General features: G+C 48.9%; 1 protein-coding gene across 2 annotated transcripts in view, besides 5 other annotated features; it reads right to left on the bottom strand.

The window, feature by feature from the left end:
* The window catches only part of RIN3 (Ras and Rab interactor 3), a 175,214-nt gene that overhangs the window by 107,024 nt on the left and 50,748 nt on the right, over nucleotides 1–17,442 (bottom strand). Inside the window, exons 1-2 of one of the 2 annotated variants that reach the window (NM_001319987.2) lie at nucleotides 5,590–5,737; nucleotides 4,494–4,611 (exon numbers count right to left, since the gene is read on the bottom strand). In NM_001319987.2, coding sequence (NP_001306916.1) covers nucleotides 4,494–4,611; nucleotides 5,590–5,613 — 142 coding nt within the window. In that variant the 5' untranslated portion in view covers nucleotides 5,614–5,737. Of the gene's footprint in view, nucleotides 1–4,493; nucleotides 4,612–5,589; nucleotides 5,738–17,442 lie in introns of those variants that run through there. The other variant, NM_024832.5, reaches the window with a different exon arrangement.
* Nucleotides 4,520–4,709: an enhancer, noted in NCBI's record as "active region_8935". NCBI's record gives its function as "activates an Ori minimal core promoter by ATAC-STARR-seq in GM12878 lymphoblastoid cells {active_cell/tissue: GM12878}" and the evidence as "EXISTENCE:reporter gene assay evidence [ECO:0000049][PMID:35858748]".
* Nucleotides 4,740–4,819: an enhancer, noted in NCBI's record as "active region_8934". NCBI's record gives its function as "activates an Ori minimal core promoter by ATAC-STARR-seq in GM12878 lymphoblastoid cells {active_cell/tissue: GM12878}" and the evidence as "EXISTENCE:reporter gene assay evidence [ECO:0000049][PMID:35858748]".
* Nucleotides 8,089–8,590: an enhancer, noted in NCBI's record as "NANOG hESC enhancer chr14:93039726-93040227 (GRCh37/hg19 assembly coordinates)". NCBI's record gives its function as "activates a minimal SCP1, AML or CMV promoter by ChIP-STARR-seq in primed H9 embryonic stem cells {active_cell/tissue: H9 hESC(primed)}" and the evidence as "EXISTENCE:reporter gene assay evidence [ECO:0000049][PMID:30033119]".
* Nucleotides 12,302–12,411: an enhancer, noted in NCBI's record as "active region_8933". NCBI's record gives its function as "activates an Ori minimal core promoter by ATAC-STARR-seq in GM12878 lymphoblastoid cells {active_cell/tissue: GM12878}" and the evidence as "EXISTENCE:reporter gene assay evidence [ECO:0000049][PMID:35858748]".
* Nucleotides 12,492–12,881: an enhancer, noted in NCBI's record as "active region_8932". NCBI's record gives its function as "activates an Ori minimal core promoter by ATAC-STARR-seq in GM12878 lymphoblastoid cells {active_cell/tissue: GM12878}" and the evidence as "EXISTENCE:reporter gene assay evidence [ECO:0000049][PMID:35858748]".

Raw genomic sequence — 17,442 nt, 5'->3', positions numbered from 1 at the left:
TGCCTGCCTTCAGCAAGAATCCTGTTGGGTCAGTTTCGCCAGAATCCTCCCTGCCCCTGATGTTTCCCCTTAGTGATTTTCCATCCACTGCCTCCCACCCTGCTCCTTGGCTATAACCCCCACTTGCCCATGCTGTATTTGGAGTTGAGCCCAGTTCTATACCGAGGTCTCTGTCTTTATTGCAATAGTTTTGAGCAAATCCTGTTTTTACTGCTTTAACGACCATCCAGCTCTGGTTTTTCATTGGTGCCTAATGGAAAATGAGACATGAAACCAGATACAATGTCCTGGTTTCCAGGGGTGTGGGGTGTCACTGGGTTGGAGAGACAGCAGAGTGGTGACCCTGGAGGCTGGGCGGGGAGGTGGGGAAGGAGTATGGCGCAAAGGACGTGGGCAGAACGTTCAGACAGTCTGCTGGTCCAGCCTGATGTGCCTTTCCTCCAAGAAGCCTTCCTGTCCACCCTGGCCGTGAACAGCACTCCCAACTCAGGCTCCTAGAGCACTGGCTGATAAGCTCAGCTCATCATAACCTCCAACCTCAGCTACTTTCCCAATGTTGCTGTGGAAATTCAAGAGCACAGCTGGCTCTTGGGTTTCCGAAAGTTGTAGGTAACTGGCAGGTGGCAGCCGAGTCTCTGAAAGCCTGGTTGCTCTTAGTAAGAGACAGGTCTGTACCCTCCTGGTCTCTATTATCTACTAATAGATAGGTGATGGTCCTCTCTATCTCCCAGGAGACCATAAGCACAGCCGGGGGCTGTGTGACCCCAGGAGCACCCGCTAAGAAGGCCTGGCCCTGGCCAAATGAGAAGAGACTCTGGTTCTTGGAGAACAGTGGATGCCCCAAACAGCCCTACCTCTTCTGCTGTCATCAGAGGGTGCTGCATACTTGGTCTGGGAAAACCATAACACTCTCTTCCTTCTTTGAGAACCTCACACTTTCTTCCCCGCTGGACTTCACAAGACGGAGAGGTCAATCAAGTTTTCTATATAAATGATTTGCCCCAACCCTACACTCGCTATCCTTACTACCCATGGATCAGGCTTCTAGCAGTTCAAAACCCAGATGCTGTTCTTTTTCCAGGGCACATGGCTAGACCCAGTTTCCCTTGCAGTTAGGTGTGATCTTGTGACCAAGTTCTAGCCAATGGAATGCGGCACAGGTGACACACCCACTCCTAGGCCTTGGCAGGAAGACGGGACCACAAGCCTTCTCCATGCTCTTTCCCCCTTCCAGCCTACTGGCTTGGAGTCAGTCCTAGGAAACTGGAGGCTGCACGCTGAAGGTGGCAGAGCCTCTTCTTCCATTGGGGTCCCTGTTCCTTCCCCACTGGGCAGGAATCTTGCCTGTGAGTGGGAAACCAGCTTCTGGCTTTAAGCCATCATGCTGGTTCTTGCAGTAGCTAGCTAATTATCCATGTTCACACATTCCTCATAGCACACCTCTCCATCTGCCAGTCATCCTGGATGGTTACTTGCTTATCATCCCCTCCCTCCATCTGAAGTGAGCTCTGAGAGGCAGTGAACAGTGCCTGGCACAGAGTGGGCACTCCATAACTCTCTGCTGAACACATGAATGTGTGGGTTGTGTTTTGTTTTTGTTGTTGTTGAGACGGAGTCTCACTCTGTTGCCAGGCTGGAGTGCAGTGGTGCAATCTCAGCTCACTGCAACCTCTGCCTCCCAGGTTCAAGTAATTCTGCCTCAGCCTCCCAAGTAGCTGGAACTACAGGTGCATGCCACCACACCCAGCTAATTTTTGTATTTTTAGTGGAGACAGGGTTTCACCATGTTGGCCAGGTCAATCTCTTGACTTCGTGATCCGCCTGCCTCGGCCTCCCGAAGTGCTGGGATTACAGGCTTGAGCCACTGTGCCCAGCGAGTTGTGTTTTATCCATTCTGTGGGGCTCTGGGTCTCTGCGGAAAGACCTCCTTATAGCAGGAAAGGTAACCTGCTTCTGCATTCCCTTCCTAGTCTACTTCTAGGGCTAGAAGATTAACCTTCAATTGAACTAATATACTCACCTTCAGGACCCAGCCTGAGGCTTCTTCCTCTTTGACACCCTCCTGAATCCTTCCCACAGTGACCTGTATCCTCCATGTCCCCAGCCAGAGGTCCCTTTGCAGTAATGCAAATGCAGTAATGCTATACTGCACAGCAAGTGATGTCTGTTTCCCATACCAGTGTGTCCCCACCCTCCAACCAGACTTGGAGGCCCCTGAGGCCAGGAACTCTGTTTTCTTCATCTTTGCATCTTCCCAGTGCCAGGCACACATGTTTCTTGAGAAACAAACACTTGAGAATATTTAATGAATCTTAACTGTTGTCACTCTGCTGCTAGCTGAGGGTGAAAGGCTTCCATTTACAAGAGATGGATCCATTTACAAGAGATGTAAACCAGTGCTTGGAATATTCTATAGATTCTTCTAACAGGCTGTTTGGATCTGAATGCCTGGCATGTATACACATAGCCATTGAAACTGCTTTTGCAAAAATTATGACGAGGAAATGATGACAGTGAAAGAGATCTGACTCAACCAATTCCATCTTGCCATTAACCTCCAAACTGCCCTTGTTCATTCCTGGGCATAGGCTGAACTAACTCTGGGAGGAATTTAGTTTATTGTTTAACTTTGAAACAAAGATGGTAACAGCCTCTCCCTGAAACAAACCTCCTCCTTGCCTGGAGACCAGGCCGCCTTTGTAAAACTAACAAATTAGCCACAAGATTAGAAATTATGGCTCAGGGCCGGGCACGGTGGCTCACGCCTGTAATCCCAGCACTTAGGGAGGCTGAGGCAGGCGGATCACCTGAGGTGGGGGGTTCGAGACCAGCCTGACCAACATGGAGAAACTCCGTCTCTACTAAAAATACAAAAATTAGCCGGGTGTGGTGGCACATGCCTGTAATCCCAGCTACTCGGGAGGCTGAGGCAGGAGAATCGCTTGAACCCGGGAGGCGGAGGTTGCAGTGAGCCAAGATCACGCCATTGTACTCCAACCTGGGCAACAAGAGCGAAACTCCATCTCAAAAAAAAAAAGAAAAGAAAAGAATAAAAGAAATTATGGCTCAGGAGTCACGTAGCCAGAGGCCACAAGATCACTAATGTCCCCAATTGCTCCTGTAGATAATGTTACTATTATAAAACCTAAGATTGGTGTTTGAGGTCTGCATTCTTTCTTATGGATCAGCTGATGCCAGCCACCCAGACCAGTAAACTGGCTCATTTGGTCTTGTGGCCCTCGCCCAGGAACTGACTCAGTGCAAGAAGACAGATTCAACTCCCTGTGATTCCATCCCTGACCCAACCAATCAGCATTCCCCCTCCATACCCCTCCTACCCGCCAAACTGTCTTTAAAAAACCCTAGCCTCCAAATTTTCAGGGAGGCTGATTTGAGTAATAATAAAACTCCATCTCCTGTTTAGTTGGCTTTATGTACATCAAACTCTTTCTCTGTTGCAATTCCCGTCTTGATAAATTGGGTCTATCTGGGCAGAGGGGGAGAAGTACCCACTGAGCGGTTATACCATGCGAGGAGGAGAAAGCTGGCACAGATGGGTGCCCAGCAGTCCACAAGGGCCCCAAACCCGGTGACATTGTACTACCAGAACAAACCCGCCCTAGAGAGGGGGTCCCCAAACATTTTCCCACTGAAGCCCATGCCCACTTCCAGTAGCACTATGCACACACAGGATTTTTGTCCTTCTTTTTTCTTTTTTTTCTTTTTTTTTTTTTTTAGGCCAGATCTCCCTCTGTCACCCAGGATGGAATGCAGTAGCACAATCATAGCTCACTGCAGCCTCACTCTCCCTGGCTCAAGCCAATCTTCCACCTCAGCCTCCCAAGTAGCTGGGACCACAGGTGCATGCCACCACACCTGGCTTATTTATTTTTTGTAGAGAGGGGGTCTTTCTATGTTGCCCAGGCTAGTCTCCAGATCCTGGGCTCAAGAAATCCTCTGCCCTCTGCCTTCTGAAGTGTTGGAATTATAGGCGTGAGCCATCAAGCCTGGCCCAGATTTTTGTCTTTCAAAGTGTTTGTCCCTTTGACCCTCACAAAAGCTCTGTGACTATTATGTCCACTTGACAGAAGAGAAAACTGAGGCTCAGAAAGATTAAGTGACTTGTCTGCAATCATGGATTGAGTGTGTGCTGAGCTGACACTAGGACTCAAGGGTGCAGACATGTCTTCTCCTTTTCTTCCCTTTCTCCAGCGTCCCTGCATTGAGCTAACAAGAAGAAACTTCAATGTGGCCATGAGAATGCAAAGCCACCCAGCTGCGACGAGGGTGAGTGGAAATTCACACTGACTTTGGATGATGAACTGAGTTCAAAACAAGTCTGGCTAAGTAACTTCAGTGACTGAAAGCTTTTCCTCCTTCTAATTTTAAACACCATCAGTGCATACAGGGGAGTCTGTGGTTAGAAGGTGCAGCCTCTCTGCTGCTGCTGCTGCCGCGTGGTCAAAGTGAAAACAGAGAAGATGGGTACTTACTCGACTTTTCTTCCTTAATGGTGTATTCGAGCACCTCGGCCGAGCTTTCGTTCAGAGAAGGAAAGTGGACACAGAGCACCAGCTGCTTCGAGCTGCTGTCCCGGCGAACCAGGAACATCTGAAACCAAAGAAGGGGATGCAGCTCCGTGAATTAAAGATTTGGGTGAAGGTGAGGAGGACAACCACGAGATGGAAGTCATCTGGAAGGTTCCTGAAATGATGAGGCAGGCTAGGGAGATCAAGGATGCCTCAGGGACACTGGGGGTTCTGCCCCAAGAGCCTTGCGCCACCTGGCCCACATCCACATTGAGGATCCTGCATGCTCAGTTTCTCATTTGCCCACTGACGGGTTCAATGAAGTCAATGTTTCTATAAGGGTATTGGAGGCACAGAGTCCATGGTGGGGGGAGGTCTTAAAATTCCTATGCCCCCACCCACTGAGACACTGATTCTGTAAGTGGGGCTGGAATTGGCTGGCTCTTATGTGAGCAGTGCTGAGTCTACACTCAGAAAAGCTCTAATGTACAGGAGTCAGGTTGAATTTCAACTCTCACCCCAGCACGTACACTCTGGGGGAGGCTGCTGGAAACAATCACAGATATTAGTCAATTCACACCATTTTTTCCCCTGAAAAAATAAAAATAGCTAATACTTAATATAGAGCTCTCGCTGAGACAGGAGCTGTGATGACACTCCACATAGAGTAACTTGCTCTATCCTCTCCATCACCCCATGAGTTTTATTATTATCCCCATCTTACAGATGAAGGAACTGAGGTACTCTCTGATTATAACAGGACGTCCCCTCCTCCAGCTGGTGTGATGACTGACTGAGTTAATACCTGTTAGGGCTTGGCCCACAGGACACGCTCTGGAAGGTGATCCTGGCCAAGATCTCACAGCTATAAGGGAAGAACTGGATTCGGCCCCCGGACACTGGTGTCAACGCTTGGGACCTCCATGCCATGAGGCCTCTGCATGCAGATCCCAAGTCCTGAGCAGGAAGACTTGCTTCTGCTGTAGGTTTACTCTCTTCTGATAAAACCATGGCTCTAGGCTGTGAGGACGCAGCTGTGCTCTAGAAACCAAATACTAACCGAGGTCTCACCCAGAGCCAGCATGTTGACGGACACTCGCTTCTCCTTCTCACGCTCTAAGCAATGGTTCTGCTCCAGTGAGGGTCCCGAAGGCAAGCATGGGGAGCGGGATTCTGCTGCCTTTCACAAACTCTGCTGTTTTAAAATGTCCTTTGAGTCTTGGCAGGTCTCAGCAAGCTCATCCCTCCTTGGCAGGTGACACCTTCTGGAATCTCCCCAGCCTCCTGTGGCACAGCTTCCCCAGGAAGGGGGAGGGGGCATCCCTCCATAGGGGAAGGACTTGGTCCATGTCTTCCCCTCCCTGCTCCTGTCTTGACCCCACCCCTGGAGCTTAAGCCTCTCCCACTCCAGCCCCAAGCTTCTGGGTTAGCGTTTGGAAAACTAGGTGTCTGGCCAAGGTTGCTGAAGAAAGGCTGTGGAGCAGGGACACTGGGATATCTGAGTGTCCGTCTGAACCAGAGTGACCCCCATCTTGAATAGGGGTTGGGTAAAATAAGGCTGAGACCCCGCTGGGCTGCATTCCCAGGAGGTTAGGGCATTCTAAGTCACAGGATAAGATAGGAGGTGGGCACAAGATACAGGTTACAAAGACCCTGCTGACAAAACAGGACGTGGTAAAGAAGCCGGCCCAAACCCACCAAAACCAAGATGGTGACCAAAGTGACCTCTGGTCGTCCTCACTGCTCATTATGTGCTAATTATAATGCATCTGCTTGCTAAAAGACACTCCCACCAGCGCCATGACAGTTTACAGATGTCATGGCAACGTCAGGAAATTAGCCTATGTCTAAAAAGGGGAGGGACCCTTAGTTCTGGGAATTGCCCACCCCTTTCCTGGAACACTCATGAATAATCTACCCCTTGTTCAGTAAATAATCAAGAAATAACCATAAGCATAATCAGTCGAGCATGAGTATGAGACAGTGTACCAGGATAGAGCACCCATTCTTTTGCTTCTTTACTTCTCTAATAAACTTGCTTTCACCTTATTCTTTGGACTCACCCCAAATTCTTTCTTGTGTCAGATCCAAGAACCTTCTCTTGGGGTCTGGATCGGGAGCCCTTTCTGGTAACGTGAGGATACGGCCCCAAGCACAGGAGGCTCCTGAGGAGCCCTCTGTCCTGACCTTGCTCTGGTGATATCCCAATTCTGCTGCCATTGTATTGATTACTAATATTACTATATTGCTGTATCATCATAATCATTGTTATTCTATAGTTGTTATATATAATTGTTAATAAAATACTATAACCATATTAATATTATTAATTAATGGCCTCCCTAGTCTGGCCCAAACCCAAATACTAGTGCATTAGATTCTATGATCTCACTTAATTCTCCTCTTAAACCTATGGGGGAAACACTATAGTTATCCCCATTTTATAGATGAGGACACTGAGGCAGAGAGAGGCAAGTAATGCTCAGGATCACAGGGTTGTAGGTGGTGGAGCTGAGACCTGAAACTCAGGACCTTCAACTCTAGATCCTGAGTGCTCAATTTTGCCTCCACTTGGCTTACAGAGGGTGGCCCTGAGGCTTAAGATCCTGGTCTCCGTGAGTGTATGGCCCTTCCAGAGCAGCAGCACAATGAATCATTAGTCACCAAACCAAGGCTGGAAATGAGTTTTTAGCAGCCCCTCTCCTCCAGCAGAGCAGGATGAAGAGAGAATTAGAAGCAGGAGCAATAGGGGGCGATGGAAGGGGTACTCCTGGTGATACAGGAGCTAAAAAGAAATTATTTAGGCAGATAGTGAGGGTAACAGAGTCCTCTGCTGAGCTTCCCTTTTAACAAAAAGCAGCCCCCAAATCATTTCTTTTTTAACAAAGAACAGCCTGAAAACTCAAGCGGCAAACATAGACAAGCAAGCTGGAAGCTTGCATGGGTGAATGCCGGCAGCTGTGCCAACAGAAAAGGGCTACCTGGAAGCCAGGTATGTTTAACATGGAGGCTTCATCTTCCCTTTTCTTTGTCACCATGTGTACAGTAGAAAAGCAGGCAACATAGCCAGGTAGAGAATCCATCTACGTAATAAAAGATTAGGGTGGGGCTGCCAGCTTCTTTGCATGCAATGCAAATGGCACACCTGTCCAGCCAATCTCTGGTACTCTATGTAAATCAGATACTGCCTCCTCAAGCTCATCTATAAAACCTCCTGCACTTCACCATGGACCGAAGACCTGTTCAGGACCCCCTCTCTCTGCAGGAGAGTGCTTTTCTTGTTCTTACACCTTTTAAACCTCCACTCTTAACCTCATTTCTTGTGTGTCCGTGTCCTTTATTTCCTTGGTGTGAGGAAACAAACCTCAGGTATTACCCCAAACGACACTGCTTCATGGCAGGGGTGGGGGTGGTGCCTGCCTGGAAGGTGTTCCTGCTTGACATTGGCTTACATCTAGATGCCTCCGCCAGGCCTGGCTCTCCGCTCAGAGGCTCAGAGACAAGCCTCGGCTCCTGCCAAATTGTCACCCTACTTGGAGCTGCAGCATCCATGAACTAGTGCATTCACCTGAAATTGAACTAACACCAGGACATGGTGTATTTCAAAGAAATGAGGTTGCTTTGCCTCTATGGAGGTTCAAGGTGGAGCTGCCTCCTTGGCCACCAGGCCCATGGGAACCAGCAGTGTGTGAGGGAATGTGAGTGTGTGGTATATAGTAAGACAGAAACACATAGCCAGTCTTTGTACCCAATCCTGGCACAGAGCTTCAAAAACCCATGGAATTTCCTGAGAGATGAGAGTGTCTTTTATTATTCATAATGAGCCCCTTTTGATCTTACCTGAGTTTCTGCTACTAAACAGGGACTCCTGGTGGGACCTTAGATTCAAGGGAGGTGCTGGCCACAGAAAGACTAAGCACCTGCTTAGAGGGTTGGAACTTCGGCCCCCCGTGTGACCAACAGAAGGGGACTGGAGACTTGAGTTCAATCACATGGCCAATGATTTAATCAATCATGCCTCTGAAATAAAACCTCTGGACTTTCTGGCTGGTGAACACACTGATGTGCTGGGAGGAAGATGCACCCAGCTTCTAGGAGTGTTAGCTACCTGGGTGTGTCACCAACCTTGGGATTTTTTGGAGCTGTCCTCACCCCCTTATTTTGTTTTGACAGTCTTCTAAATCTAATAACCTGATTTGTCTCCAGCTGATCCTCAGTGAGAGATGTCATCCCCTCAATATTCAAAAAAGTCACCCTTTTGGCCGGGCACGGTGGCTCATGCCTGTAATCCCAGCACTTTGGGAGGCTGAGGCAGGGGGATCACTTGAGGTCAGGAGTTCGAGACCAGCCTGACCAACATGGTGAAACCCCATTTCTACTAACAATACAAAAATTAGTCAGGTATAGTGGTGCATGCCTGTAATCCCAACTACCCAGGAGGCTGAGGCAGAAGAATAGCTTCAATCTGGGAGGCAGAGGTTGCAGTGAGCCAAGATTGCACTACTGTACTCCAGCCTGGGCAACAAAGCAAGACTGCATCTCAAAAAAAAAAAAAAAAAAAAAAGCAAAAAAAAGAGTCACCCTTCTACAGGAGACCACCAGACTTCCCATCAGTGGGTCATGGCAGAGGCAAAGTTCTGCCTATCTCCCTTGGACCTGGCTGGATACTGCTTTCACCAACCCACGGAGCCACACTGCCCGGACAGCTAGCAGAGGCCAAGACCCACAGAACAACCACCACCGCCCCTCTCTATAACTGCAGGAAGCAGTTACGAAAGACTGACCATCCATTTTCCCCAAGGAATTGGGGTCTTAGACTCTTGAGGGGAAAATGTTACAGTAGGTAGTCAGGTATCAGCAGGGCAGGAGAGTCCCCTCCCTGACCAGGAATGTCAGGCGACCATCAGATGATGGGCAGGCGGTTATTAACTGTCTCTCTAATAATTGGTTGCAGCTGTCACCCCAGGGAAACACAGTCTCCCAAGAGATAGAAAAAAACCTGAAAACTGGTGATCAGCATCTTCTCGATTACATCTCACAAACTGTGCCCGTGGGCTCAAGCATGAGCACTAAGAGGCAAAATGGCGGAGTGTAACTTGTATAGGACCTTCTTCTAGAAACACCGGACTGGTAAGGGAAGAAGGCCTCAAATGAGTATGCGCACAACTCCAGTAAACACACTGCGCATGCGGCCCCTCCCAAGTGCTGGCGGACCACTGCGCATGCAGACAGCCCACCCCAGGGGAAGAAGCCCACTCTGAGACTCAGGGGAGAAGGGACGGACACAAGACCCTGGAAGCATGCTAACACAGAAAACCCTAAGTCAAAGGTCAAACCATGCACTTGATCTCTCAAGTCACCCACCTGACCCTCTTCCAAGTGTACTTTCCTTCCTTTTGTTCCTGCTGTAAAGCTTTATTAATAAACTTTCACTCCTGCTCTAAAACTTGCCTCGGTCTCTCACTCTGCCTTATGCCCCCTTGGTCAAATTCTTTCTTCTGAGGAGGCAAGAACTGAGGATGCTGCAGACCCATCTGGACTCCCCCTGCGAATAGGAGGAGAGGTGATGGGGACTCTGTGGCTGCCCCGCCCCAGACCTCGCCCTATGTGCCTTTTCCATTTGGTGGTTCCTGTGCTGTATCTTTTATACAAAACTGTAATTGGAAGTATAACACTTTGTGAGTCTTTGAGTTGTCCTATCGGATTATCAAACCTGAATGGAGATCATGGGAACTCCTGAATTTGAAGCCAAATTGGACAGAAGTGCAGTTGCCTGGGAAGCCCACTTGTGGCTGGCATCTGAAGGAGGAGCAGCCCGTGGAGTCTGCACTAACTCTGGGTAGTGTCCAAATTATTGGACACCCAGCCGGTGTCAGAAAATTGTGAGTGAGTGTGTGTGTGTGAGTATGGGTGAGTGTTGTGAAATTAAATTCAAACTTAAAATAATTGGGACTTAAAGCTATTGGAACTTCAAATTATCTAGAGCCTTGAGAGGAATGTGGCTTTGTAGCCTGAGCAACACTGCCTGCAACTGCAACTTCTGCAGCTGATTTCCTGTAAATATTGAAGACCAAACAGCAGCAGAGATAAGACCCCCTCAGAACACTCCCCTTCTTCTGGAGTATTAAAAGAAAAACCTTAGACCAATTAATTTCACAGAATTTAATTGAGCAAAGAATGATTCACAAATCGGGCAACTCCTGAACCAGAATAGGTTCAGAGAGACTCCAATATAGCCATGTAGTGGAAGATTTATGGACAGTAAAAGGAAAGTAATGGACAAAAACTGGAAGTGAGGTACAGAAACAGCTGGATTGGTTACAGCTCGGCATTTGCCTTATTTGAACACCGTTGGACCAGTTGGCCACCTTTGACCGGCCAAGACTCAGTGATTGCCACAAGAGTATTTTACAGTCTGTTTACACCTCCAGTTAGGTTACAGTTCACTATGTCCAGAAAAACCTTTAGACAGAACTTCAAATATGTAAAGAGGCAGCGTTAGGCTAAACTTAATTTAACAGGAGTAATAAAGTAATCTTCCTAGGTTGTAGCAATCTGTAACCAATCAAATCACTGGGGCATGCAGTGGTCTCATATGGAAAATGTCATCCTGCTAAAACTTCTCTGTCTCTGCCTGTATAAGTAAAACCTTAACTTCACCTTCAATGCTGGCCTTGTTCATTTGGAGTCGGTGTCTCCCAGGTGGCTACCCTCAAGCTTTGTGGTAGAATAAACTCCATAATTAATCACATTTTCTGAATGTCACTTCTTTTTTTTTTTTTGAGACAGTCTCACTTTGTCGCTGAGGCTGGAGTGCAATGGCGTGATCTCAGCTCACTGCAACCTTTGCCTCCAGAGTTCAAGTGATTCTCCTGCCTCAGCCTTCCAAGTAGCTGGGATTACAGGCACGCACTACCATGCCTGGCTAATTTTTATATTTTTGTGGAGATGGGGCTTCATCATATTGGCCAGGCTGGTCTCCAGCTCCTGATCTCAAGTGATCAGCCCACCTTGGCCTCCCAAAGTGCTGGGATTACAGGCGTGAGCCACCGCGCCTGGCCTGAATGTCATTAGTTAAAGTGGACAGTGTGTGTGAGTGTGTGTGTGTGTGTGTGTGTGTATCTGCCACGAGGGAACTCTGGGGTGCCCCCAGGGCCTTCCTGCTGAGCAGGACGTGGAAAGAAAGGCAGAGCAGGAGCCAGTGGTGCCCCTGGGAAGGCAAACTTTGACCCCTGGCCCTGAGCCAGGGTGGGAGCTGAGGCTGGAGCCCTCCTAAATTGCAACCAAACTGCAGATTTCTGTCCACACTGGGAAAGTGCTCTCTTTGTGTTGCACGTGCAGGGGACACACACCCAGGTCACTGGTTAGAAGCACAGCCACATGGCAGGGCTGCCCCATCTTTAGGTATCAGGGATGGCACAGGAAGGAAGGGCAGTGTTTTTCAGACTGCACGTCATGACCCATTACTGCGAATGCCACCCAAAATTTCTTTTTCCAGAATGAAACAGAAGAAAATAAAATAGAAGACCCTTGCCTATAGTAAGGGTAGACTTCTTGTTGGAGGGTGCAGGTCTACGCGGGTCAGGGCCACAGTACAACATATATATTTTTACTCTACTGATAGTTACTTTCTCCCCTTACTATTTTGATGCCCCTAGCCCCCACTGATCTCTGCCTAGGGTGACTGGCATGAAACATCCTGGTTGCTGGCTTCAACTAGGCTGTCCTTCGATGCTTCTCTGCATTGAATCAGCTCTTTCACACCTAGCCCATAGCTATTTCTAGGTTTTCTCACTTTGTTCGGACATGGACCCTGTTCTCCATCCTCACATTCCAAGAGAGAAAGAAAAAAAAAAAAGGCAGGAGCTCTCAGAGGGAGATCCTCCAGCTGGGGACAGGCTCACAAACTGTATTTCTTTCTGGGCCCTCAGACGGCCCTGAGCAGCCAGTTACTAGCCCTGGGACCCTGGGTGATTGTATGGTTTCTCTGAGCCTCCGTGTTCTTGTCCATAAATGGGGGTGGCAACACCTGCCACCACCCAGCAGAAACAAAAAATGAAACCAAGGCCCTGCCTCTCTGGTTGTAAGATGTATGGAGAAGCTGCAGAGGAAAGCACCCAACAGGACGCTCACTGAGGACCACGCTCCACTCACCCCACCCGCAGCTGGTTTTGTGCTTCTGTCTCCTGGTCTCAGGCTCCACCTAGACCTGGGAGTCTGTCCACCATGTGTGTTTACTGTGAAAGAGAATCAGAAGGGATTGCCTGACCCCAGAAGAGATGAAACTTACAGATCCAGGGCAAGAGGAGGCGAATGCAAGATTATAAACTAAAGAGAGAGTGGTTCAAGTCCACAGTACGGAGGCAGAAGTTAAAACGGCAGCTGGCGTGTGCACACTGGGCCAGGTGCCTTACAGGCACCAGGACTGGTATCACTCAGTCCTCCCCAGAGCCACACAGCTGGCAACTGCCAGAGCAGGACTAGGGCCAGGCATCCCCACCACATGGTGAAGCATCTCGCTCCCCTCTCGCTGTTGGGCTGTGTTATCTACACAGCTTGTCGACAGGGCTGGAAAGTCCCCAAGGTTGGACTCTGCCAGCTCCCCAGCTCCGAACCCATCACCCACCCTTTCAGCATGGCCACAGGGCTCTCATGTGGCTCTTGTCTTCTGACTAAAAACCATGATAAGGCGCTGGCCTGGGGCAGAGGAGGCTGGAGGCTGTGAGTTCACGATGGAGAGTGGGGCAGGGACGGACTCTGAGTTTGGCATGGCTCCAGGAGTCCTCTGACGTTTCCTGCCCAGGTGGCCATGGGTGAGGGTGACACTGACAGGTACGTGCTGTGGGCAGAGCCCAGGTCTGTGGTCTGCCTTGGCCAACTGGAATCAGAGGGTCTGTTCTGTTCCTCTCTGGGGAGGTTTAGCTGCTGAGCTAGTCATGGAGACTCTTCTAGAAGGTATTCACAGACAGCACCTCAAAAACAGCATCACTGTGCCGCAGTGATGCCTGAAGAACATTTTAGATTATGGTGAATTATCTCAGCTTAAATCTGGCAGATTTTGGCCCAAGTCAGTGTCAGGCAGCAGCCATCTTCATGAGTTGTTTATATCTACATTGCCTCCCTGCCCACTCGCTGATCGAGTGTCCCCAGGTCATACTCCAAGGGGATGTTGCCCATGATGGCTGTTACAAGTGAGTACATGGTGGGATGGGGAGCCGAAGGACCACCCAGAGCCCTTTCTCCAACACCTTTGGGGTTTCCATGTGAAAAGTCTCAAAGCCCACCTTACTTCTCCCTTTCTGCCCCCCTGCAGCCAGCTATTTAGAGACACAGTGAAACACAAATACTACCTCTGCCCCTCACCAGCCGTGGGCAAGTTACTTTTACTTCTTGGGGTCTCAATGTCCTCATCTAAACATGAGGACAATAATATCCATCATTCAGGGTTGCTGTGAGAATTGCTGATCATGTATATAAAATGCCTGGCACAGAAAATGTACTTAATAACTTATAATCCTAATTATTAATTATTATTATAGATTGCTCTCATTTACTGATCCAAATCACATGCTATGATTTTAAGTGCCTAATATCATTAGACAAATAAATGACAACTATTAATAGGATTATTACTATGCTTGCAGCTGAACCAAAGAGACAGGACAAAGGACTCAAAGAGCATTCACCTCCACAGTAGATTAAAAAGAGCCACAAAGTCTTTGCTGCTCCCCCTATCAAGAGATGGAGTCTATTTTCACCTCCTGGTGAAAACAGCATGGCCTTGGCACTGGCATTGACCAAAAAAAAAAAAAAAAAATGCAGCAGAAGAGACACTGTGGAGTTCAGAGCTTGGGCTTCAAGAGGCATGCAGCTTCCATGTCACCCTTTGGACTATGCTGTCATGTAAAGAAGCCTGAGCTAGCCAGCTGGAGTTGTGTGGCCCAGCCAACAGCCAGCACCCAACACAAGACACATGAGTGAGGCCATCATAGACCATCCCCCTCTAGTCAAGTTGCTAGATGATTGCAGCTGCATGACTGACCCCAGAAAAGACCAACAGAAGAACCACTCAGCTGAACCCAGCCCAAATTGCTGAGCCATAGAATTGTGAGCAAATATAAAATAGTGACTGTTGAAAGCCACTGAATGTTGGTTTGTTATGTAAAGTAGGTAATGGTATAGCCATGAGGTATACGGACATGTGGCCTCCACCTTTGGGTATCCCCCTACTCTCTTCCATCAGGCATTGCTGACGAATACACATAGCTCAGTGGGAAAGTTTCAAAGCTAGTGATGTGGTCCAGCCCCTCACTCTACAGCCAAAGAAACCCAGAGAAGTAAAATGACCTCCTGAGGTCACATCACTTATTAGTGTCAGAGCCAGAACAAGAATGCAAGACACGTGACCTCCAGGCCACGTTTGTGACCACTACAATACATAACCTCTAGCCCAACCAACCCACTGGTGTTAAATAAGCATATACTCCATGGCAGGCACCAGGCTAGGGATTTTAGATACCTGCAACAGCTCCTTCCCTGAGGCTCTGAATATCACACCCTCCATGCAGATGAGAAAATAGTGTGAGGTGCAGGTTGGTAAGGAGACGGGAAAGGGGATGGGCATTCAAGCGGCAGGTCCAGAGTGTTGGGCCTTGAACCCTTTCATGTAAGACCTTCTGCCCGCATGCTCTGGAGCCAAACCTTCCAAGTTTAGTCCTTAGTTAGCCACTTGGAGCTATCTGAGCTTTCTGGGCGGCTTCTTTTTCTGTGAAATGGGGTCATAATAGTCCCTGCCTATGATACTTACTGAGTTAGCTCCCCAGGAACCAGTCCCCTCTCCCCCTCCTTGCTAACAGACCCTGATTCTGGCTCTGGCGGCAATGTGCCCTGACTCAGGAGATGTATCACATTTGGTCAGAGCCGATCTTGACCATCCTGCTCTCCTTGGCCATTCACCCCCTTTCCTAGCCTTCATCACATCACGGGTGGTCAATAAAGCATTTGGAACAATATGTGTTCCCTAACAATAATGCAGAGCCTAGGAGGAGAAAGCCATTTGCCTGTGACCTCTTGCCTTCGAATGGGTGAGGTGTCTGGAGCTGCAGCTGCCATTTTGCAACCATGAGGTGAGAAACCTGAGGACAAAAAGCCAACCACTTGAAGATGGAGGAATAGAAGGGTAGAGAGAAGCCCAGGTGGAGTAGTGAGGGAACACAGTGGGAACTGAAGGCATCAAAGAGCTGCTAAACTAGCCCTGGACCCCAACTTCCAGACTTCCCACTAGACGAACAATAGCATCCTTATGGCTGAAGCTACCATAGCCGGGCTTGCTGTTACTTGAAGTTTAAAGCATTCACCACCAACCCAGTGCCTCAAAGGATCATTGAAAAGGCTGCACAGGTGGTATTAGCAGAGTGCCTGCTACATAGTAAGCAGTCAATATGTCATACTTCTGTCAGAGGTGATCCATCTTGACTTTCTTACAGCTCCAGAGCAACTTTCTTACAGCTCAAGAGCAGCTCCATCTTAAATAGGGGCTGGGGCAGCTGAGACCGGCTGGGCTGCATTCCCAGGAGGTTAGGCATTCTTAGTCACAGGATAAGACAGGAGGTCAGCACAAGATACAGGTCACAAAGACCCTGCTGATAAAACAAGATGTGGTAAAGAAGCCGGCCCAAACCCACCAAAACCAAGATGGCAATGAAAGTGGCCTCTGGTCATCCTCACTGCTCATTATGTGCTAATTATAATGCATTAGTAAGCTAAAAGACACTCCCACCAGCGCCAAGACAGTTTACAAATGCCATGGCAGTAAAGAAGTTACCCTATATAGTCTAAAAAGCGGGGAAACCCTTAGCTCCAGGAAATGCCTACCCCTTTCCCAGAAAACTCATGAATAATCCACCCCTTGTTTGATCAAGAAATAACTCTAAGTATATTCATTCGAGCAGCCCATGCTGCTGCTCTGCCCATGGAGTAGCTATTCTTTATCCCCTTACTTTCCTAATAAACTTGCTTTCACTTTACTTTGTGGACTTGCCCCTGTTTCTTTCTTGCCTGAGGTCCAAGAACCCTTCCCTAGGGTCTGGCTTGGGACCCCTTTCTGGTAACACTTCCTTCCCCAGACCCCCTCTACCTGCCTCCTGGCCCTGAGAACGAATGTCACAAAGCTCCTAGCATTCCTGATGTCAGTGTTCATGGATGGCTCCATGAATCAAAAGGGCAATAGGGCAGGACATGGGGCACCCTGGACAGGGAAAGGCATCCTGATGGGCAGCTCCAGACTTCAGAGCTCAACCTCGATGGGAAGATAAGCCAGGCAGAGCAGATGAGCCAGGTGGAGCAGTGAGGGAACACAGGGAGACAAGTGCCAGTGCCGGGGCCACCTTTGTCCACCTCCAGGACACTCACAGGGGGCTGCCTGGGTTTCCTACAAACAGAACAGTTCACATTCATGCCCACGGTAGGGCCCTCCATCTGCCACTGCTCCTGAAAGCCTTCCCTGATTAGCCACTAACAAAGCTTCCTAGGCCCAGTGTCCTTACTCAACCTCTCTCCTCTCTGGGAACAAGCCTGGTCTGGGGCCTTGCTGAGTCAGCTGTTCCTGCGCGCGCGCGTGTGTGTGCGCGTTTCCTCCATTTTTCATCCCTCACTGCATTGCATTAGGGACCCTCAGAAAGCAGAAAAATCCTCTTCCATCAATTGTACAAACTGCTGGGCTCTTGCCACTGTGAGAGTTCGATTTTCTTTGATGATTTAGGATTCCCCCATGCAAGCCCCCACCAAAAAAACAGCGGGCAATGGTAAGAGCAACGGGCTGAGGGTCAGACACTTGTGTCCTTCCTAGTTCTGACATTGGTTTGCTCTGTGTCCTTAAGCAAGTCACTTCCCCTTTCTGAGCTGGCTTTTTCCA

Source organism: Homo sapiens, chromosome 14 (assembly GCF_000001405.40).
Source record: "Homo sapiens chromosome 14, GRCh38.p14 Primary Assembly".
Taxonomy (NCBI): Eukaryota; Metazoa; Chordata; class Mammalia; order Primates; family Hominidae; genus Homo; species Homo sapiens.
This window is presented reverse-complemented; position numbering and strand designations above follow the sequence as displayed.